The 25,051-nt window shown below is 37.6% G+C and overlaps 1 protein-coding gene across 17 annotated transcripts in view, besides 2 other annotated features; it reads right to left on the minus strand.

The window, feature by feature from the left end:
• LYST (lysosomal trafficking regulator) overlaps window positions 1-25,051 on the minus strand; it is a 222,683-nt gene that overhangs the window by 144,016 nt on the left and 53,616 nt on the right. For 14 of the 17 annotated variants that reach the window (XM_011544032.2, NM_001301365.1, XM_011544031.2 and 11 more), the window contains exons 4-6: window positions 7,925-8,015; window positions 3,409-5,488; window positions 697-1,726 (exon numbers count right to left, since the gene is read on the minus strand). In XM_011544032.2, coding sequence (XP_011542334.1) covers window positions 697-1,726; window positions 3,409-5,488; window positions 7,925-8,015 — 3,201 coding nt within the window. Of the gene's footprint in view, window positions 1-696; window positions 1,727-3,032; window positions 5,489-7,924; window positions 8,016-21,276; window positions 23,991-25,051 lie in introns of those variants that run through there. The other 3 variants (XM_047443034.1, XM_011544036.3, NR_102436.3) reach the window with 2 other exon arrangements.
• Window positions 9,135-9,636: an enhancer, noted in NCBI's record as "NANOG hESC enhancer chr1:235977481-235977982 (GRCh37/hg19 assembly coordinates)". NCBI's record gives its function as "activates a minimal SCP1, AML or CMV promoter by ChIP-STARR-seq in naive H9 embryonic stem cells {active_cell/tissue: H9 hESC(naive)}" and the evidence as "EXISTENCE:reporter gene assay evidence [ECO:0000049][PMID:30033119]".
• Window positions 15,083-15,377: a silencer, noted in NCBI's record as "tiled region #11090; HepG2 Repressive DNase matched - State 9:DNaseU, and K562 Repressive non-DNase unmatched - State 22:ReprW". NCBI's record gives its function as "represses a minimal TATA promoter and a strong SV40 promoter by Sharpr-MPRA in HepG2 and K562 cells {active_cell/tissue: HepG2 | K562}" and the evidence as "EXISTENCE:reporter gene assay evidence [ECO:0000049][PMID:27701403]".

Below are 25,051 nucleotides of genomic sequence, written 5' to 3' on the forward strand. Positions count from 1 at the left end.
CTGGAACTGAAGTAGGAAGAGCCTGTTGGCTGACTGAACAGTTAGGTGTAAGTTAGTGAGGACAGAAGAGGTCTGCCATATTCCAGGTCCCTAGATTCCTTTTTAGTTGAGAAATGATCTCAGGAGAAAACTTGTAAGAATGTGAGGTAAAGCAGAAGAGGTTAGGAGAAGAATCTGGACAAAGATGTGGTTTTAGGAGAAGTCTCGTCCCAGCCTCATTTCCTGGGAAGCTCTGGAGCCTGAAGTGCCCCACAATGATTGTCCCCACTTCTTAGAGCCACATCTATCAGCATTAGCTATGAGCATCCTTCCCAGGCATCTTCCATCGGTCAAGGGTGATTCCTGGAAGATGGGTGCTGATGCGCAGATGGTGAATGGGTGATCAGTTTGGTAAAGGAGTTCTGGGCAGGGCAGCCAACAGTATCACACAAAAATTTAGATCTTTCAACTTTGAAACACAATATCCATTATTATTCATCTGACACTTATAAAATGTGTGTGTGTGTATGTGTATATATACATAAAACATAATATATACACATATATAAAAGTAATATATTATATGTTATATATAACACAATAATATATATATTACATATATTATGTAATACATATTACATTTTTTATATATATATGTGTGTGTGTATATATATGTATATATATTACATAAGAGTTGGACTAAGGACAAGGTATTACCTGATTAGGTAACTCCAATTCCATCTTCTGTTGACTAGTTCTGGCACCATGAAGACAAATGGCCAGAAGGGCTTCCAAAAGTCGTATACTTTGAAGTGAGGTCTCACTTTCTTGACTTGTAAATAGCTTTGCTTCCTCGGGAGCGGCTTCAGTAGCTGAAACTTCTTCCACATTTATGGAAGAAATATGCTGTAACTCTAATTTACCTAAACTGTCAGCACTCTTTTTTAGACTACCTAGTTCTGATGGTATGGGGTCACTTTTTATAGCCAAAGATAATAAATCTTCCTTCATAGTTCTCTTAGGTTGAGAAATTCTGTTTAAATCCTGGTTTTCATTTACACTTGTATCTCCCTCCTTTTTTCCTTGCTCCTCTTTGTGACTTCTGAACAGTTTCTGTATTATCATAAATATTAACTTATGGCATACTCGGAAACCACCAAGCCTATAAAACTGTTTCTGGAACACTGAACTCAACATGTAGATCCAACGACACATAGACCAAATGTCTGCTGCTTGGTGCATATGTTCAGGAGAAGGCAAGACAAGGCTCTCGAGAGATATACATGGCAGCATATGACTTAAAGGCTCGCTGGCTGTGCTGTCATAGCCAGAAGTATCTTCTGAGTCATTGGCCGACTCCCTGTCAGACTCTGCTTCTTTACTTACGCATAAAAAAGCCACACAGAGGAATAGGTTTATTGTGTTGATATGAACATCTTGGTTAACAGTCTTCCGTCTCTTTGGATAAGCTTCTTTGAGGCCAGCATAAAATTTGCTGAGACTCTGAGGAGAATCTGAATAAGCTTGCTGATGATGAAAAGAAGTACCCACATGTACAGAGGACAACTCCTTCTGTTCAATGTCTATCCCATCAATATCTGGAACTGAGGCATCTTTCTGTTGCTCCCCTAGGCTGATTATCAGAGTTTCAAATGCTTTTAGAGAATGACTTCGAATACCATTTAAGCAATTTAATTCGATTATTTGACTTACTCCATTACAACTCAAAAACAAATCTCTTATTACCCTGTGAAAGAAAAAAAGCATGTAAAAAGGTTTAAATAAAGAAACATCATTTATAAATAGGTACATATAATATTTAATATATCGCTATTGCATGTGGGATATACTAACCACTACCTAATTTTATTCATCAATTATCAGGCTAAAGTTCTTAGTTAGATATAATTAGGACCTCAAGTTACTTTCTAATTACTCTGATATCCTTCTTCAAACATTTGTATATATGGCTCCAGCAGTATCTAAAAAGAAAAGATTGCCTGTCCCACATTAAATGAAGCAATTCAGGGAAGAATATTTTTCTCCAAATGGCAAATTCTATATAAATTCTGAACACCACAGCCACCACCACACCTGAGGTGGACACCCTGAGGGCAGGCAAGCACGTGTTTGTTCATTAGTTTGTCCGCCTGATGGTTCACTTGGGAATTTTTGTTTACTTTAAATCTATACCTTATGAAGGGAAAGAATCACACTAGAGCTGAAAATCTACGGAAGGCTCAGCATCACATGAATTTCCCTTCTAATTGGGCTAATTGAACAGTCAATGGTACAAATATTATAAAAGTTTTTCAGCTCTGTCTCAGGTGAGACTTGTGTCTAGATCATTGGAATCCTAGTAATAACTTTAATATAAGCCAGCTAGGTGATTCTCAGCCCTTTCATCACAAAGATTCAGGTTGTCCACGAATACGCCAAAGAGTTACAAAACTTTCAAATCAGTCAGTTCTAGTTAAACAATGCCAAAATGTCAGAAAAATTTTTAAATGACTGTAAGGCATTGATTTAACATCAATAATAGTTTTAAAGTAGTTGTGCTAAGATTGACCAAAAAATGCCACACACGAAGATATTGATAGGTTATTTTTGTATAAGTTTCTAAAATGGTATATGCATTAATTTGAAAGACCAGTCTACCCATTCGTTTATAAAATTATTTTTAAATGCACCAGATTTGGCAATCACAAAGTCTGGAAAACTCACTGATAGGATTAAAAGTAATTTTAATATTCTTATTTTTGTTTATCTATATTTTCTAATTTTTCTACATATATTGCAGAGGTTATAAATGTAAATATAATATTTTAAAATTAATAATCCCATTAGTGCCTCTGCCTCAATAATCATTTTATGTATTATTTTACATGTAATACATATTTTACATAGTTGTAAATAAGTGAACACTATTTTAATTGTTTATATTTTACCCATAAGATATTATAATCATTTTCTCATATTCCAATATGATCTTTGTAAACATTTTCAATGGCCAATAATATTCTATCAAGGAAATATAAAGTAATTAAACTTGCCCTGCTCTTGGATATCTGTGTTTCATCTACGTTTTTCTCAGTTGTATATCTAAAACTTTTCTTTTTGTTGAGAAATTAAAATCAATGGCTGTATCCTCTTCTCTATAAACAGCTCAGTAAAAAATGCATACATACATAAACAAATGGTTAAAACAAATCTGACATGGAAGGAGAACATTTTTTGTTGACAAATTGAAATTAAATCCTAGGAAAGAATAAAGAGTAAATACGATCACACTGCTGCCAAAGCCCTGGAGATATCAGTGTTAGAAGTTTAAATGCATACAATTTATCACTCACTTGAAAGCATCCAATGAAAAAGATCTAGACATGCTCAACAACCCCCGCCCCCGCCGCCACCCACACACATACAAACCTGGATTTAAGCAGGATAGGCAGAGTTTTTACATAAATCTGAAGCACGTCCTGAGGCAAGCACTGGTTATGATGGCTACATACATGACTTTGAGCTGAAGTAACGCTTAGGTGTTGACAATGATGTGCTAATTCAACTCCTCTTTGGAGCACAGGATTAAATATGTAATTATATAATTTCCACTGAACAACTATATTGCCTTTCTGGATTAAATTGCAAATGTGATTTGCAATCTGTATACTATGTAATCTGTCTTCTTCAAAAACAAAGTTCTGATAAGCCTTTAAAGCATCCCATTTCCACAACAAATCTTCAGATCCACTGCTGGGCAGGATCCCTTGAAATCTGTAAGAAGGACTGGATAAACTTGAGGAGAGTTCAGCATCACATAAGTTTCCCTGCAGTGTCTCTTCTAATTGGGCTAGTTGGTCAGAGTCAACAGTACAAATATTACAAGCTGCTTTTTTAATTTTTGGTGATATCTCTGCTCCTCCTAACTGATCCAAAATAAGTTTGTTAAGGATATTCAATATATGCTGCTGAAAATTTTTCAGTGCTGGCAATTTAAAAGCATGGAGCAAAGGAATGATTACAGATTTGGGATCCATACAACAGCATATTCCAATGTTATGAACACCCGATAGGATCTGGACACAAGTGCTGCTCAAGGAAGCCTGCTGTAGTAAGCGCAAGCACTGATGGGCACACACTGCAATGCAACAGCACCGCTCAGGATAATAAACATCTCCATCTGCAGTCTCTTCAAATGGGTTTTTGGAAACCTGGTTTTTAAAAGCCGAAACCAGAAGACCTGAGAGATCTCGGTGATGATGCATAAAATGAGAATATTCACATCGTCTGTGCCTTTTTCTTGTACACATCGAATGATGAAGTTGCTCTGATTTCACTTTTTTGACAGTGCTCATTATTTTCATCACACTATTTATTAGGGCTTTCAAATGCTCTGAGGCCTCGGGAGGAACTCCATCTCTTAAAACCAGCCATTCCATTTGAAGAACTGCTGTTTCAAATAAATTAAATCCATGATGCTGAATGAATTCTTGAACCAAATCCATGGCTTGACTGAAGTAGAAGGGATTTGAAGCTGCACTTTGAAGACAACAGATCAGAATCTGAAGAACTCCTTCCAAAAGCTCAGGTAAAAGAAGGGCTCTATGACGATACTTTGAAAACACAAAATCTTCCTGAACCTCCTGCAGTGTTTTCTTTTGTCTTGGTGCAAAAGGGTCAGGCTGCTTTTCTAGGCATATTCTAATTTTTAAAGCTGCTCTAAGCAATTCAGTTAAATTTTTCCTAAGATTTTCTGGCATCATCTCTGCAGTACTAACATCTACTGACAGAAGATGCAACACTGTTCGAAAGAGCATCCTTTGAATCAAAGCCACCGGTTCTTCGGTCCAACCTGCAGAAACTACTCGACTCTCCAAGTTGTCGCTCAGACTGCAGCAGTCCCCAAAGCCTGCTAGGAATTCAGTTAGTGTGGGCACTACACTGGCTGCTAAAGGAGAATTATGATTCAAGGTAACGTCAAACTTACAAACTTTTTCTAATAAAGATAACAAAACATGACATAAGTCAAATGGAGAATTGTTCATGTTACTGATAACAGACAAGGCAGCTGGCTCACTTAAAATGTCAGTGTTTGACCCCTGTCTTGGAATAATCTCTCTGGAATTTTCCAAAGCCATAGCATCTGGAGGAGTCTGTTCTTTGGTTGCTAAGCGGTCAAGTTTAGCTTTGGGGTGGTCTTGTTTAGGAAACGATGTTAAAAAATGATGCAGCAGATGGGGCCTTCTATGCTTATTCATTGCTATGCCTTTTTCATCTGAATTGGCTTCTGAATCTGAGGTGGAGAGCTGTGTCTTTCTTGCATCTCTTACAGAATAGCGATGGGTAATTTTACGCTGTCGTCTGCTTTTTCGAAAAACATTTACTTTTGCAGAAACCTGACTAGACAGGGCACTTCCTTCTAAATGTAATTTTTCCTGAGTGGATCTTTGTGAACTTGAGTTCTTTTCTTTGGTCAGGATTATATCTGCTGAGAGCGGTAGGTTAAAATCTAATGGAATGAAAAAAGAAGGCTTAGAATACCTCAATATGTTTTAAAACTCAATTTTAAGGTGACAGCCCTCTTATTTATCTTAAACCCACTAAAGGAGTTTATCCTCAATGTATTTTGCTGCAGGGCTGATTTCCTTCATTTATGTCATATCTCTGGGTTACCTCCTCTCACACTTATCCTTACTCTAAACACTAGCTGACATTAGTTCAAAGGATACAAATTGATTTTTAAAACAACAAAACAGAGGCACACCTATACTTACTCTAAACACTAGCTGACATTACTTCAAAGGATACAAACTGATTTTTAAAACAACAAAAGAGAGGCTGGGTGAGGTGGCTTATGCCTGTAATCCCAGCACTTTGGGAGACTGAGGCGGGTGGGATCACTTGAGGTCAAGAGTTTGAGACCAGCCTGGCCAACACGGTGAAACCCTGTCTCTAGTAAAAATACAAAAATTAGTCAGATGTGGTGGTGCACGCCTGTAATCCCAGCTACTTGGGAGCCTGAGGCAGGAGAATCTCTTGAACCTGGGAGGCAGAGGTTGCAGTGAGATGAGATCGTGCCACTGCACTCCAGCCCAGGTGACAGAGTGAGACTCTGTCTCAAAACAACAACAACAAACAAAAGAGAACAGAGTTAAGAAAGTAAATCTGATTTAAAACTATATATTATATTCTAACTTCAACATAAGAGATGCTGTAGATTATCTGGTATTTAGTGCTGTTGTTCACACCATTTACAAATCTCTTCCCATAGTACCACTAATTAAAATGTAAGGATGTATTATATTCTCAAAAATAGTATTCATAGACCTGATATAATTTAACTACTTTAAGATTTTTCTAAAATTATTTCAAAATCATACACTATATGCCAAATGTTCTCTAAAACTGAGGTTTAAATAATTCTTTATTCAAATTATTTCTCAAATGTTTCAGCACTGAACTAGGCACCAGGTATAGACACTATTATTTCATCCCCGGTGCCTAGATAGGGCCTGGCGTATGGTCAACACTCAGTAAATACTTCACAGGGGAAATGAATGAATTCTCCCTTTAACTAAAAAGATAATTAGATCAGTCTTTCTCTTTGCAGTATGTAGTAAGAGCTATATAAAAAAGTAGCTGTAATTTAGAGTGAATAAATTAAAATCTGTAAATAAAAAAATCTGTGCTTTACTAAGACAGGGAAAGCAAACCAGATGGGAAGAGGAGAAATTAAAAGGAGTCTGACAAATTCCACCCAAGCAAAAGATGCAGACAATGAAGACAACTTCCCCCAAAGAGCATTAATCAGATTTCTTAAGTGATTAACAATTTGTGAATTCTGCAAACTCAGAAAAAAATAAAAGCAGAGAGTTAGTGAATCAATAAATAAGCAGAAAAACAGTATTACAAAACCTTAGATACCTCCTTAAAAAAAGCTCCATGAAATTCACTAAAAATACAGGAATTAAAATACAATAATTTTTTTTTTAACCTGAGAGATCTTCAAACATCTCACAAACATGTCACAAGAAAGGGTCAAGAGGAAAACTATTAATCTCTCCAATGAAACATTTAAAGTTTCATGTACTTTATAGACATATGATTTCTTCAAAATCATAAATTAAAAATATCTATCGACCTTACATAGAATAATTCTACCCAAGCTTGAAACAAAATATTAAATATATCCTTTAGGCTGGGCACGGTGGCTCATGCCTGTAATCCCAGCACTTTGGGAGGCTGTGGTGGGCAGATTACTTGAGGTCAGGAGTTTGAGACCAGCCTGGCCAACATGGTGAAATCCCATCTGTATGTACTAAAATGCAAAAATTAGTCTGGCATGGTGGTGCACGACTGTAATCCCATCTACTCAGGAGGCTGAGGCACAAGAATTGCTTGAACTCGGGAGGCTGAGGTTGCAGTGAGCCGAGATCACTCCACTGCCCTCCAACCTGGGTGACAGAGTGAGACTCTGCCTAAAAAAAAAAAAAAAAAATTATACTTTAAAGGCAACACTAGAAAAACTAAGCTAAAACAAATACTGCAAAAGTCACTTATAGAATACTGGTAATAGAAAGCAGTCTTTAAAATAAGCAAAGAAACTTTAATTTCTTTATTCAGACTTTTCACTTCCAACTTTTCACTATCCATTTTTCTGATGTTATGCTGCACACCTAGACTCACTCCTTCTGATAAGTGTTTCTGCTTCTTTATACATTTTCTAATCATCAGTACATTCAAGTACTTCCCCCAAGAAGCACCATGGTTTTTGTATTATTGAAGGAAAAATGTGTTTGCCTAAATAATTTTTCATATTTAGTATGAATAAATCACAATAACATATAGTGTTCTGAATCTGAATCAGAATCAAACATTCAGGCAGAAGTAACTTTTCTATGAAATTTTGATAACACAAGTGATATGATAAAGGGAAAAAGCATACCTGTTGCCTTTTCTTCTTGGACAGGTATCTTCCATACCAGTGGAAGGAGAGACAGAAGAAGAGTCAGGAGTTCTTCTCTACATGTCAATGCCTATGTCAGTAACAAAAGAATCCTTCATGTTCTAAGGCGATAAGACACATCAGTTCCTAATGTCTTGTCTTAAACTGAACCAAAAAATCCTTTTTCTTGAAAGTCTGCATTTGAAAAGCTAAGAATCAAATTAACCTATCTTCAATCCAGTTAAAGCTGTGATACTTTTAAGTTTATAAGCCTTTCTAATGATAGAAGAATCTAAGAGTATTTGACAGTATTTAGCACACTCCTGCTGATATTTCCAAAAATAGCTGTTATTACCACCATGCACATTGCAAGAATTCCTTACCTATGAAGAAACAGATTTGCTAGGTGAAAATGAAAAGTTAAGCCCTATTAATTAGCAAAGCAATGCTACAAAGTTACTAGAAAAATGTGAAGCCTTCATGCAGTTAAATGAAAAACTCAGAGACGATTTTAAAAGAGAAATTGACATTATTAATAAATAATATATAAGGAGAGAAAGACTTATTAGTGAATGTAATCCAATAAATATTTATTGACTGCATACTATGTCCACAAAAATACTGTCTTACCCTTTCTGGAGGATATGGTCCAAGCCCTGGAGAAGGTCCCCTCATTTGGTCCATAAAATACATACACATAAACAGTTAAAGAACAGCAGAAGGCATGTAGTATGAGTAAGTATCCAGGGGTGGTAGAAGCATTCAGTTTAGGAGTTCAGAAAAAGGAGCAGTCATTATCAGAAGTATGGAAGGAGAATGGGAGCTAGAGAGCTAGACCTGGGACACCTGGGACATGGGTAGTAAAGGATTTAACGACAAATCAAGTTTGAGTTCTCGCCTTACACCAATCAGTGGGAGAGGGGGTCGCATGATGACACAATCAGATTTGCTGAACAGAATTAGTTGGAAGGGGAAGCAGTGTTAGAGGCAGGGTAACAATAATCCAGATGAGAGAGATGATGACTTTCTGAAGTACTCCAACAACAGAAGGGAAAAGGAGACATATTTGAGAAACTGTAAGGTAGAACTAAAATAACTTGCAGTTGATTATCTATGGCACATAAGGGAGAAAAGAAAAGATCTAAAAGGACCCACAGGTTACTGGTTTCAGCATCTAGGTAGCTGATAATGTATTCACCAAGACAGGAAATTTACAAGTGGTATTAGGTTGGGATAAAGATGATGGATTCACTTTTCAGACATATGGAGTCTGAGACGTCTATGCACTATCCTAATGAAGACAGCTTTTTAGTAGACAGTAAATATATAGATCTGGAACTTAAAAAAATATGAAGTAAATAACAAGATTTAGGAGTAATTGGGGTGGAAGGCAAGAAGATATGTGAATTTTCCCAGGGTGAGAATATAGAATGACAATAGAAGACCATCAAGAATGAAACTCCGGACTTTAAAGACTTAAAGATGGGCAATGCTAAAGAAAAGGCTGAAAAGGCTTCTATTGAAAAATAGCCCCAAGAAAGAGAAGTACAACCAGAGAAACCAAGGAAGAGACCAGTTCAGGAAAGAAAGGAGTCAGCAGGGCCAAAGCTGTTGCCCTTTCACTGTGTGACATGATGGCCGAAAAGCATTTAGTAACTGGAATGCCCCTTAACTAACGGCTTTAATGGAGTGATTTGACTGCAACTCCAATTACAATAGGCTGAGGAGTCAAAGGAAGTGAGAAAGTAAAGACAGGACATTCAGACTACTCCTTCTGGTGTCCTGGTTGTGAAAAGGCTCAGAATTCTTCAAAAAAGGGGTTTAGTAAAATCTAAACCCCTTTTTAGGTATAGAAAACCCTTCACGGCAATGATTCCTGTTGAGCTGTCCAGTGTCAGCTCCCTCTGCCACACATGAGCCCTCCGCATACATCTAGCTGGTAAAGGTTTCCCCTGAAAACTACTGGTCTCTGTGCTCCCAATAGGTCTTCCTCACATACACTGTTTCTGCAATTCTCCATCCCCATCCTCCCATCTGCCAAACTGCAACTCATTCTCTAGGTTTTTAGTTCCTCTGTGGGGAGACTTCTCTAACACCCTACCTGCTTCCCTTAGTAAACTTAGCTTTCATGTTCCTGATTTGCTTCCATTCCAGCAAACACCCTGCTGAAGTGTTACTGTCTGAATGCCCATTTTCCTCTTTTATCCGTTAAACAAATATTTCTTGATCCCCCTACTAAACAGGCCAGGCACTGTGTCAGGTACTTCAAATGCTGTAGTGAACACAATATCCATATCCTCATGAAGCCTACTTCCTAGCACAGGAGACAGAAAATAATGGGTAAAAATAAGAAAATTTCAGATATAATGTTGTGCTATGAAGGAAATTATCTAGGAAAGAGATTACAGAGTGACAAAAAGGGTAACATTTTAGACAGGCTATTTAGGATGGGCTATTTGAGCAGATACTTAATTGATGAGAAGAAGGAATCCATGAAAAGATTTGGAGGAAAAGGGCTCCTAGCAAGTATATGAAGTGCTGGGAATGGGTTTGGCTTTTTCATAGAAAGCAAGACAGCTCAAAAGCTCCTAGATCTGATAAATAACTTCAGCAAAGTCTTAGGCTACAAAATCAATGTACAGAAATCAGTGGCATTTCCATACATCGACAACACCCAAGCTGAGGGGCAAACCAAGAACACAATCTCATTCACAACAGTCACAGAAAGAATAAAATACCTAGGAATACAGCTAACCAGGAAGGTGAAAGATTTCTACAATGAGAATTACAAAACATTGCTGAAAGAAATCAGAGATGACACAAACAAATGGAGAAACATTCCACATTCATGAATAGAAAGAAACAATATTGTTAAAATGGGGCCGGGCGCGGTGGCTCACGCCTGTAATCCCAACACTTTGGGAGGCTGAGGCGGGCAGATCACAAGGTCAAGAGATCGAGACCATCCCGGCCAACTGGTGAAACCCCATCTCTACTAAAAATACAAAAATTAGCTGGGCGTGGGGGTGCATGCCTGTATTCCTAGCCACTCAGGAGGTTGAGGCAGAAGAATCACTTGAACCCGGGAGGAGGAAGATGCAGTGAGCCAAGATCACACCACTGCACTCCAGCCTGGCAACAAAGTGAGACTCCATCTCAAAAAAAAAAAAAAAAAAAAAAAAAAAAAAAGGCTGGGCATGGTGGCTCACACCTGTAATCCCAGCACTTTGGGAGGCCAAGGCAGGTAGATCACAAGGTCAGGCGATTGAGACCATCCTGGCAAACATGGTGAAACTCCAACTCTACTAAAAATACAAAAAATTAGCCAGGCATGATGCCATGTGCCTGTAGTCCCAGCTACTCGGGAGCTGAGGCAGGAGAATCACTTGAACCTGAGAGGCGGAGGTTGCAGTGAGCCGAGATCACACCACTGCACTCCAGCCTGGGTGACAGAGAAAGACTCCGTCAAAAAAAAAAATAAATAAATAAAAAATAAAAATAAAAAAAAAAAGCCATACTGCCCAAAGCAATTTACAGATTCAATGCTATTCCAAACTACCAATGACATTCTTCAAAGAATTAGAAAAAGCTATTCTAAAATTCATATGGAATAAGAAAAGACTCTGAATAGCCAAAGCAATCCTATACAAAAAGAACAAAGCTAGAGGCATCACATTACTTGACTTCAAACTACTCTATGAGGCTACAGTAACTAAAGCAGCACAGTACTGGTACAAAAACAGACACAGAGACCGATGGAACAGAATAAAGAGCCCAGAAATAAAGCTGCACACCTATAACCATCTGGAATATAACCTAAGAAATACCATCCTGGACATAGGCCCTGGCAAAGGTTTCATGACGAAGGATGCCAAAAGCAATCACAATGAAAACAAAAATTGACAAATGGGACTTAATTAAAGAGCTTCTGCACAGCAAAGGAAACTATCAACAGAGTAAACAGCCTACAGAGTGGGAGAAAATATTTGCAAACCATGTATCTGACAAAGGTCTAATATACAGAATCTATAATGAACTTCAACAACTTTATAAGTAAAAGACAAATGGCCCTATTAAAAAGCGGCCAAAGGACACGAACAGACACTTTTCAAAAGAAGACATACATGCGCCAACAAGCATATGAAAAAATGCTCAACATCACTACCAATTAGAGAAATGCAAATCAAAACCACAATGAGATACCATCTCACACCAGTCAGGATGGCTATTAAAAATGAAAAAAAGAAAAAAAAAACATGCTGGTGAGGTTGTGGAGAAAAGAGAACACTTATACAACGCTGGTGGGAACGTAAGTTAGTTCAGCTATTGTGGAAAGCAAATTGGCAATTTCCCAAAGAACTTAAAACAGAACTACCATTCAACCCAGCAATCCCATTATTGGGTATATACCCAAAGGAATATAAACCATTCTACCATAAAGACAAACGTGTGCTTATGTTCACCACAGCACTATTCACAATAACAAATCAACCTAAATACCCATCAACGGTAGACTGGATAAAGAAAATGTGGCACATATACATCATGAAATACTGTGCAGCCACAAAAAAGAATGAGATCATGTCCTTTGTAGCAATATGGATGGACGCTGAGGTCATTATCCTAGGTGAACTAACACAGAAACAGAAACCAAATACTGCATGTTCTCACTTTATAAGTGGGAGCTAAACCTTGGGTACACATGGACACAAAGAAGGGAACAGCCACTGGGGCCTCTTTCAGGATGGAGGGTGGGAGAAGGGTGAGGATCAAAAAACTATCGATTGGGTACCATGCTTATTACCTGGGTGATGAAATAGTCTGTACACCAAACCCCATGACATGCAATCTACCTATATAACAAACCTGCAAATGCACCCCTGAACCTAAAATAAAAGTAAAAAAAAAAATTTGTTACCACAAAAATGATCTATTCATTAAGAGTTTGAAGGAATCCACTGGCAATAGAATTGTCCCTTAAGCCCTTGAAGGAGAAAATACGTAAGTTTTACAATATTTTCTGTGATGATTTTTTGAGATTTATACACACATGTCAATTTTGCAATGTACATCTTTCCAGAAATTTGTCATTTCATGATTATTTTTGTCACTTCATGATTATAATTAACTTTAATCATTTCATGATTATTTTCATGATTATTTTAACTTAGGAATTATATATTACAACTTTTTTTAAAAAAGAAAGAAGGAGAGTGGCTGAAACATACATACCAAGAGGGAGAGGGCTAGGAGACAAGGCTGGAGGGTGTAGGTTGGACAGGTAGGCAGTGTCAGATCTAATGGGCCCTTGTGGACCACATAAAGGAGTTCAGGTTTATCTCTAAATATGATGGGAAACTTTCCCAAACATACTTCTCAGTCTTCTCTCAGGGCATGGACTCCAGGGCTCAGGCCCTAGTCCTCAGCAATCACCCCCTTTTCTGCCACCCAACACCTAACATGGAGTTGGGTATTCAATAACCATTCACTGCATGAATGACTTTAAATTTTAGATGCAAAATAAAACATATAAAAGGGCCCCATTTCCATGTGCTTTACTTCCAAATAATAAAACTAAAGATGTACAGATAACATTTCCATGTATAGCTCATACTCAGTATACCTCAACATTTTTAAAGATGCCAATAAAAATGTACATGGTCTTTTAAAAAAAAAAAAGATAAACCAATTTTTGGCATATCTTTCCGGTAGAGTCCTCCTAATCTGAGTCTTTATCTTTGGCAGGTGAACTAATAGCATTCTAATGGAGCTTGCAGAAACCTCAAGGGTCTGAGAAAGTGCTACGGACACGCTGTACTGATAATTCAGCCCTTGCTCCACATACTGGCAAATCACCACTGCTGCGTAAACAGGCATTCCTGACTCCTGGCAGAGCTCTGCATGACACAAGGTCCTTCCCACTCAGATGAGGGCTTCTCACCTACCTTCAAGGCTCAGACCCAGCAACACCTCTTCTGTGGAGCTTCTCCTCCCACACGAACCCAAGATTGCTGTTCTCCCCCTCAAGAGAAAGGAAGAACATTCCTGTTGCCCCCATTTCACCAAGTGAGTTAGTTCTTGCAAACCATGGGCCTTGAAAGAATGAGAATGAGGCAAGTGCAGATGTTTGGGTTTTGGCCCCTCTGCTGGAATTGTAGTCCTGAAGAGGGCATCCCACACCACCCTGATGCCCAATATAGCACTGGGGGAAACGAGTCTTTCCTTCACATTTCATTACCACAATTTCAAACACAATTCATCATTGGGGAAGTTCTCTTCAATCCTCTGGGTGCATTACTTTTTTATTAATATCTGGGTATCATTTATTCCCAGATTTATCCTCTCTGGTCCCAAAGAAACCACATTTGTAATTCTGTCCTTTTAGAAGTGATAAAATCCTTTACTCTTAATTTGTGGGCACCCTGGCAAATTAGAACTTGCAGCCCTCTATTTCAAACCAAGATCTTATCTCCCAAGTTTTATCTCCCAAGGTCCTTTGTACACACAATAGTCACAGAATCCAGGGGAATGAGGTGTTCCCTCATGACATCCAAGTGGGAAGTTCCCAATGTGCCATATTAGACAATATATGCCATGAACAGGTCCATTCCCTGCTATTTCTAGACCACCCAATCAAGAGAAATCAGCCAATAACATACCACTCTTATTTAATACTTTTATTTTGTTTTGTTTTGAGATGGAGTCTCACTCTGCCACCCAGCTGGAGTGCAGTGGCGTGATCTCGGCTCACTGCAAGCTCTGCCTCCCAGGTTCACACCATTCTCCTGCCTCAGCCTCCCAAGTAGCTGGGATTACAAGTGCCTGCCACCACGCCCAGCTAATCTTTTCGTAATTTTAGTAGAGATGGGGTATCACCGTGTTAGCCAGGATGGTCTCGATCTCCTGACCTCGTGATCCGCCAGCCTCAGCCTCCCAAAGTGCTGGGATTACAGGCGTGAGCCACCGCGCCCAGCCAATACTTACATCTTTATGTCTTCCTTTCTACAGGGAAAATAACTGTGTTACACCTTTATAAAATTCCCCATAGAAACAACAAACAGTAAAGTAACTTTCATTGAGGTATTTTTCCATTCAAGAAACATATTTCAAGTACCAACAAGGTGCCAGGCACTGGCCCTTTTCATAACTATTGTTTAGACTGGGTTTTAAACTAATTGCCTAACCTAGCCATTCAGAAGTAGAAGTGGTGGGATGGGAGTAAATGGGCAAGTGAGTCAAAGGGGAAAGGGCTGAGATCACAAACCGGACTGATGTCTAGGAAGCTGCACAGGCAGATGGGCACCAGATGGCTAGGGTTCAAGGACTTCTGGATGACATGATAAGGAACTTGGACTCTATCCAGAATGTGATGGAAAGCTAATAGGTATTTCTTTTCTTTTCTTTCTTTTTTTTTTTTGAGACAGGGTTTCACTCTGTTACCCAAGCTGGACTTCAGTGGCACAATCATGGCTCACTGCAACCTCCACTGCCCAGGCTCAGGCGATCCTCCCGCCCCAGCCTCCCAAGTAGCTGGGACTACAGGCACGTGCCACCACACCTGGTTGATTTTTGTATTTTTTTGTAGAGATGGGGTTTTGCCATGTTGCCTAGGCTGGCCTTGAACTCCTGGGCTCAAGCAATCTGTCTGCCTTGGCCTCTCAAAGTGCTAGGATTACAGGGGTGAACCACCACATCCAGCCTAATAGGTATTTCTGATATTACATTAAATCTGTATCTTGACATGCTAATTAAATTTGATTTTCCATGCATAAGCAGGAATATATGTGTATGGACTATTTAAGTCCTTTATTTCTTCTATCAGAATTTTATAATTATTTCTAATATATGTGTATATACACATATATGAAAGTTTCTACATTAGTACTACAAATAGGATCTTTCTCTTTCCTTTTCTTTTCTAGCTGTATAGCTGCAGCTAAAAACAAACATCTTTGCCTTATACTCTACAACTTTGTTGAAAAGTTTTCTGGATGAGTTCTTGGATTTTTCTGTTCACATTACTTTAAAAAATAGTATTTTTATTTCTCCATCTTTCCCACATTTAGCTTTCATATTCCACTTTACCACTACATGTATTTAAAACATAATATCAAATGGAAATAGTAATAAAGAATTATGCTTGTATTGGTCCCACGTAGAACTTCTTATTAAAAATATTATTGGCATCTGAGCATGGTGGCTCATGCCTACAATCCCAGCACTTTGGGAGGCCAAGGGGGGTGGTTGCTTGAGCTCAGGAGCTTGAAAACAGTCTGGGCAACACGGTGAAACCCCATCTGTACAAAAAATACAAAAATTAGCTGGGCATAGTGATACATGCCTGTAATCACAGCTATTTGGGAGGCTGAGGTGGGAGGATTGCTTGCGCCTGGGAGGCAGAGGTTGCAGAGGGCTGAGATTGTGCCAATGCCCTCCAGCCTGCATGACAGAGTCTTTTTTTCTGAGACCCTGCCTCGAAAAAGAAAAAAAAAATTGGTTCTTCTAATCTTTGTATATGAAAGAAATCCTCTATTCGAAGCTTAATTTGTTTTTAGACCTTTTATCAAATGTTTTTGATGAGTCAGGATAGTTATATGTACTGTTTTTCCCAGTGATAAACATTATGCTAACAGTTTTTCTTGAATTAGACCAGGAATTGCAACCTTTTTATATAAAGAACCAGATAGTAAATATTTTAGACTTGGTGAGTCATATATGGTCTCTGTTGCATATTCTTCTGTTTAACAACCCTTTAAAAATGCAAAAACTATTCTTAGCTTGTACATTGTACAAAACAAGTCAATGGCAACAGGATTGGCCTGTAGGCCGTAGTTTGCTCAGCCTGCTCCCATTCTGCCCCACCTCCCCTGCAGGCAAAGAGTGGTTATTAAATGGCCATAATACTCTTTGTTAAGACTCCAGAAAGACTTAGGTGGTGCCTAGTACACCCTATCACCTAGACAAAAGTACTACTAGGAATCTTCAGGGGATTGTTCTGCACAAAGCAGAGAGGGCTGTCTCAAAGGCTATTATAGATGTGGCTTTTGAGGCATAGAGTGAACCCCACTAAGATTCACAGGAAACTCACAACATTTTAAAGAAAGTTGGTTATTAAAAAATACTAACAGCTTGGCCTAAAAGGGATAGGATAGAGACAGCTCAAAATGAAAAAAGGCCTCTGGGCGCCCACTCTTCAACAGGCAGGAAGCAGGGTGAGAAAGCTGTATATTATGGGCTAATTGTTATAGAAAAGAGAAGACACCTCATAGGGTGGAACCAAGAGTCCTGGAGAAACATGGATTAGGGAACCACTCCCACAGAAGATAATTATATTCCCAGACCCTAGAACAGGGGCCATGACAACATGTGCTGACTGGATTTCAGGACTGCTATGGCCGAGAGATGGCTATGTTCCTCTCCTGTCCCTCTTCTTACTACAATTAACTTACTCCTATCTCATTATTGTATATAGGGCATATGCGGAGCAGATAACCTGTCTAATTCACAAGTTTCTCAATCAAGAAGAGCTGCAACAAAATTACTACATGTGAAAGCCTCATGTGTATCCAGAACTGATGCATACCATGAGATCATCAATTCAACCCTGAGGTCATGATGGAATAATATACTTCAAGAGGCGTAGAGGGGAGTGAGTGTAGGAGGAATAATAATAATTTTGGTCAGAGAAGAGACCATGGTAGCTTAAACACAGCCACAAATTAATTGCAGTTCCTCCTATCAAGTGATAGAGTCTATTTCCCCATCCCTTAAATCTGAGCTCAACTTGTGACTAGCTTTGACCAATACAATGTGATCAACATGTTGTTATGTGACTTCTTGCAGCTTCTGCACCCTCTTGGAATGTTTCCACTATCATGTAAAGAAGCTGAGTCTAGCCTACTGAAAGATGAGAAGCCATGTGGATGAGAACTGAGGCTGGCCAACAGCCCCACCCAATAGCCCTCAGTTAATCTGCTAACTGACTGCAAACTCAGATGTAAGACCAGCTGATACCTCAAGGAGCCAAAGTGGCTATTCCAGCTGAGCCATGCCAGAACTGCCAACTCAACAGAATCATGAGCAAAGAAATCATTGTTTTATGCCACTAAGTTTTGGAACATGGTCTGTTACACCACAATCAACTGATATATTCATTGCTTCAATCAGTCTGGGTGGATAATTGGGGGATTAATTAAAACGGGAATAATTCAATGAATTATCTACTCTCCATGGATAGCACCACTGTCGAGTGGTTAAGATTTCCACTGTGATCACACTCTCACTACTCCAAGAAGTAGGAATGCCAACATCCCCTACATCCTCTCATTCCTGTCAGACCAATCATGCATAGATAGAACTAGGTTTGTGTGTGAACAGAAACTGCAGAACTAGATATAGTAAATTAATGCTCATTTATTATTACCTTTACTATATTTAAAAGTTTGCATTATTCTCCTATTGAAACAACTCTTGCCAATTTTACCATTAACTCACTTGTCAAATCTGAAGAATAATTCTCATTGCCTATTCCCTTGCTTTAAAATTTCCCCAATGTTTTCAGAATAAAATTAAGACTTCTTAACATGGTATACAAGGCTTGCCATGTCATGGCCTCTGCCCTTCAGGTCTCCCCATTAGCCAATCCCCGTTTTACCAAAAGCAAAGCAAAGTTCAGCCTTCGCTGTAACTTCACTAAACTACTTGTAGTTCATTGAATGTGCTGTGTTTTCTCTAGCCCCCGTGTTTTTTCATGTGCAATTCTTCTGGTCTGGTGTTTCCTGCCTCTTTACATCGCCAATTCCTACTTAGGGATGTCAATATCTAAGAAGCAGTTCCTGATGACCCCTCTCCACTACATTCACCAAATACTTTTTACACTGTTTTGTCATCATTTATTTACCTATCTCTTCAAAAGCGAAGAGCTCCTGGTAAAGACAGTCGCTGTCCTTTCATCTCCGCATCTAGCAGAGGTGCTGGGCCATAGTAGGTACTTAATGGTCTGCTGAGTAAAGCAGTGAATAAACTGTAGCCACACTTCTAAAGGTCTGATATTGTTCTATTTATTTTATATATCACTACAGGTAGCCCATTTCAGCAGTACTATACATTGAAGTGATAATACTACAAAAATGTAGGAAGAATAAAGTACTCTCCTACATAGAAAATAGCCAAAGATTTTTAAAAACCTATTATAATGTTTGAATTATATTTTGTTCATAAATGTACAACCCTCTTTGGTAAAACTTCACATTTTACTCAGCAACATAAGTAACAACTTTATAAAACATCCACAGAGTGCAATAGGTATGGAAATTATGTATCACTGAAATTTTAAAAAGTAGTATTTATAACACATGTTCATGTATACTAGTCCAATTTTGATATATATGTTGGCAATAGGGCATAGAAGAAACCAGAAGCCATTATTTTCAAATATTACACAGAGACAATTTTTATACTGGAAGGATCCCTTAAGTCATCCAGCTGAATGTCCTTATGTTACTGATGAGGACACTGTGCTCTGGAGCAATTAAGTGACTAAAGTCACTCATCTAGTTGATACGGGTGCCAAGATTAAAAGCAAAGATAGGCTGGGCATGGTGGTATGGTAGAAATATTCAACTTTGTCATCTTTAACCATTAAAAAGAATGTTTTTGATATTTAAAAAGAGTATTTTCCCCTGAGAATAAGTAGATTAAAATTTCTGTGTATAATAAATTATGAACAAAATGGAGTTTATTCCAGGAATGCAAACATTTAAAAACTACCGCTGAGCGCAGTGGCTCACGCCTGTAATCCCAGCACTTTGGGTGGCTGAGGCGGGTGGATCACGAGGTCAGGAGTTCAAGACCAGCCTGGCCAAGATGGTGAAACCCCGTCTCTACTAAAACTACAAAAATTAGCCAGGTGCAGTGGCAGGTGCCTATAATCCCAGCTACTTGGGAGGCTGAGGCAGAAGAATCACTTAAACCTGGATGGCAGAGGTTGCAGTGAGCCAAGGTCGCGCCACTGCACTCCAGCCTGGGCGACAGAGTTGAGACTCTGTCTCAAAAAAAAGAAAACAACAACAACAACAACAACAACAAAAACGATCAAGATAACTTACCTACATTACAGAATAAAAAAGAAAAATCATATGATAGTTTCAACAGATGCAGAAAAGGCATTTGACAAAATTCAACATCCCTTCAGTATAAAAACTCAACAAATTGGGAATGGAAGAAAATTCCCTCATTCTGATAAAAGGTGTCTAAGAAAAACTGAGAGTTCATATCACATTTAATGGTGAAATACCTCATGCTTCTCCTTAGGTCAGACACTAAACCAGGAGGTCCACTTTCACTACTTCCATCTGCTTTTGTACTAGAAGCCAGTGCAAAAGTCAAGAAAGCAAAATAAAAGGCATACAAATTGGGAAAAAAGTAAAATTGTCATTCACAGATGACATCATTATTTACATACAAAATCCTAGGGAATCTACAGAAAAGTTTCAAGATCTAATGAATGAATTTAGCAAAGGCACAGGACACAAGATCAACATACGAAAAGCAATTGTATTTCTATGAGCAACAAACAACAGGAAAATAAAAAAATTTAAATACCATTTATAATAGCATCAAAAAGGAATAAAATATTTAGAATAAATTTAACCAAACAACAGGCAGGACCTCTACAATGAAAACCACTCAATAGTGCAGAGAAACAAACTAAAGAAGACATAAATAGAGTTTGATATCATGTTCATGCATTGGAAAACTCAACATTGTTAAGTGTCAATTCTCTGTAAACTGATTTATAGATTCAATGCCATCTTAAATGAAATCCTAGTGTGCATTTTGTAGAAATAACAAGTTGATTCTAAAATTTATATGAAAATATGAAGGATCTAGAATGGCCAAACTTTCTTTAAAAACAAGAACAAAATTAGACAACTTACAACATCTAATTTCCAAACTTATTTTTATAAAAGCCACAGTAATCTAGACAGGGTACTGATAAAAGACTACATGAAAGATCAGTGGAACACAATGCAGTCTAGAAAGACCCATAAATATAGAAAAAGTGCTCATCATCATTAATTGCCAGAAAAATGCAAATTAAACCTACAATGAGATACTACTTCATATTCACTTAGAATGACTAACACTACAAAGACTGGCAATATCAAATATTAGAGAGGATATAGAACTGGAATTCTCATACACTGCTGGTAAGAATGAAACATAGTACAACTACTTTGCAAAACAGTTGGGCAGTTTCTTACAAAATTAAACAAACATTACCCTTTGCCCACAAATTGTATGCCTACATATTTACCCAGGACAAATGAAAACATATCCAAGGACTTTTATAGGAATGTTCAAAGCAGCTTTATTCATAATAGCCAAATGCATACAGCTCAAAAGATTAAACAGCAGGTGAATGGTTAAACAAATTACAGTACACCCATACAATGAAATACTAATCAGAAATTAAAAAGTAGTGAACTACTGAATTATGCAACAACATGGATGAATTTCAGAGACATGAGAGTACATACTACATGATTCCAAAGCTACATTTAGATGCTAAAAGTCACAACAGTGGTGGTCTTGCAGTGAGTGAAGGGGAGGGACTGACTGAAAAAAAAGGCATGACAAAACTTTCTAAGGTGGCGGAAATATTCTAAACAATGATCTGGGTGGTGATGACACAGGTGTAAATATTTGGATTTTGTTTTGTTTTTTAAGACAGGGTTTCACTCTGTCACCCAGGTCAGAGTGCAGTGGCACGACCATGGCTCACTGCAGCCTTGATTTCCCCAGGCTCAAGCAATCCTCTCACCTCAGCCTCCTGAGTAGCTGGGACTATAGGCACACACCACCACACCTGGCTAATTTTTGTATTTTTTTGTAGAGATGGGGTTTTGCCATGTTGCCCAGGCTGGTCTCGAACTCCAGGCCTCAAGTAATCCATCTACCTCGGCCTCCCAAAGGATTGGGACTACTGATGTGAGGTGTATTTGTCACTATTCATCTAACTGCATACACATTATCTGTGCACTTACTGTATATAAATTATACCTCAATAAAAAGTTTATTTACTTCTTTATATTAAATGTCTATTAATAAGCTGGGCGCAGTGGCTCACACCTGTAATCCTAGCACTTTGGGAGGCCATGGCGGGCAGATCACTTGGGGCCAGAAGTTTGAGACCAGCCTGGCCAACATGGCAAAACCCTGTTTCTACTAAAAATATTTTTAAAAATTAGCCCGGGCGTGGTGGCGCACGTCTGTAATCCCAGCTACTCAGGTGGCTGAGACATGACAACCTCTAGAACCCTGGAGGCTGAGGTTACAGTGAGCCATGATTGTGCCGCTGCAGTCCAGCCTGGGTGAAAAAGTGAGACTCTGTCTCAAAAATAAATAAATAAATATTAATAAAGCAAACGGACTACAGTTGGTGGGAAAGGGCTTAAATCACCCCAGAGTACTCAAGAAGTGCTCCTATTCATGAGAAGCACAGATAGAAAAACTAAATTTCCTCCTAAAACATACAACTATGTGTCTAGTGTTATGATTTCATCTTAAATGATAAAATATCATTCAATTAATTCCCCTTAAAAACTCAAACATTCATTCTCCATTTCCTAATTGAAAGAACTAAATGTTGATAAAGGCCTATGTTTTAAATGGCTATTTATTTTCACTCCAAAGGCACATCTACTGTTCCTACTATTATTGCTACAGATATTCCAAAAAGTGACTAGGTGGAAAGAAGGGATTAAAAAATACCACCACAGGAAAAAAATATTTAACTTATGACCTAAATAATTTTAGTCATTTAATATCTTAAAATATATCTTATGACTTAAAAGAGAAAGTATTCTATTTACCATATATACAAAGAAAATACCGTATTTGGAATCCAATAGACTTGGTTCCAGAATACATAAAGAACTGCTACAACTGATGATAAATAAATAACCTGACCTTAAAAATGGTACAAAACTTTTAAAGAGATGTTCATAAAAGAAGATATACAAATGGCCAATAAGCAAATGAAAAAATGCTCAACATCATTAGTTGTTAGAGGAATGTGAACTAAAACTACAATAAGATACTACTTCATATTCTTTTAGAATGGCTAACACTACAGACTAGCAAAATATTCCCAAAAGAAAAATTATTGCTGCTGTTATGACATGAATTATTTCAGTCATTTAGTAATACATTAAAAGACATTTCATGACATAAAAGAGAAAGCATAAAATCTGGAGAGATAGAAAGTAGATTAGTGTTTGCTTAGGGGTAGGGGAATGGAAGGGATAGGGGAACGATAGCTAAAGGGTATGGAGTTTCTTTTGGAGGTGATGAAAATATTCCAAAATTAACTGTGGTGACAGATGCACTTACCTGTGACTACACTAAAAGCCACTGAATTGTACACATAAAATGGGTGAATTTTAAGATATGTGAATTATATCTCAATAATGTTATTTTTAATAATGCTGTTATTAAGATTTTGATTGGGATTAAATTGGGATCTATAGATTTGGAGAAAACATGTATGTTTATAATATTGATTCTTTCAATACATGAACATTATATAATGCTCCAATTATTTGGGTCTTCTTTAGTTTCTCTCAATAATGTTTTATAGAATTCCATGCAGAAGTACTGTACATATTTTATTAGAGTCATTCCTCGATATTTACTATTACTGATGCTATTTATATGGTATATTTTAAAGAAGACAAAGCATTGAATTTTTTTATTGTGGGGAAGAACAGAGCATGGTGTACATATTAAATAATCAAAATTTCAAAATAAATCACTATACATGGTCTAACATGATTTTTTCTGATTTTAAATTTTATTTACAGAAAAGTCATACAAATATATAAAAATTATATTTAATCACTCATTTAACAAATCACATTCATGAAAAAGAATAAAAATACATAAACTTGGCTGGGTGCAGTGGCTCACACCTGTAATCCCAGCACTTTGGGAGGCCAACGGGGGTAGACTGCTTGAGGTCAGGAGTTTAAGATCAGCTGGTCAACACGGTGAAACCCCATCTCTACTGAAAATACAAAAATTCACTGGGTGTGGTGATGCACACTTGTAGTCCCGGCTACTTAGGTGGCTGAGACACAAGAATCACTTGAACCCGGAGGTGGAGGTTGCAGTCAGCCGAGATTGCACCACTGCACTCCAGCCTGGGCGACAGAGCGAGACTCTGTGTCTCAAAAAAAACCATAAACCTACAAATGTCCTGAAAATTCCATGACAAGTAAATGCTTCCTAATTTGTATTTGCTATGTTCCTTAGCTTACAGTGAAAACAGAAGTACTGTTTTAGTCTCCATATTTCCTCAATATATGTATCTATTAGCAAAATGCTTTCACAGCAAAGAAATTTTATTTAATGATGGCCAATTTTACATCTAAAGCTGGTAACATTCAAAGTGTTAAAAAAAATCCATCATATTGGTGTTACAAACACTTCATTATTTTTTCAACTAACTATATTAATTAGTTCCCTGAAAGCAGATTGTAGAGTTTTACGATCACAAAATAATTATTCATTTTCTACTAAAATGAAATAAAGATATAAATCACATTTGGCCTTAAAATTAATTTATGTGAGTACTTAATGTTTCTGGATCTGTTTTCTCATCTGTAAAAGAAGGTTAGATGAAAACATCTAGTCTCAACTAGTTTTAAAACTCTGTTAATTTTATAATAAGAAAACAGCAAAACCATATGGTCATACCATACTTTAAGCCAAAAACGTTTGATAAATTAGATGTATACAAGCTAAAGGACTCAGTAATTATTAGTTCACATAAGAGGTCTCTGCTTTCACTCCAGAATTAGCAGCCTCCAAAAATTTTTCAAAAACATACTTGATATTTATTGAAAATGAAAATTCATCATGTTTCTGACATAAGATACAGGGATATAAGATTATGTCTTATATTTCTACTAAGAACCATAGTTATCTCACTGATATTACGATAAAAAGCATAGTATATATGAAACCATTTAGTTCTTAGGCAATTCATAATTCTAAGATATTTCAGACGTTTTGAAAGTATTCAAATAAACAATATGGTTATAAATAGGTCCACTTTTTTTT

This window comes from Homo sapiens, chromosome 1 (genome assembly GCF_000001405.40).
Source record: "Homo sapiens chromosome 1, GRCh38.p14 Primary Assembly".
Taxonomy (NCBI): Eukaryota; Metazoa; Chordata; class Mammalia; order Primates; family Hominidae; genus Homo; species Homo sapiens.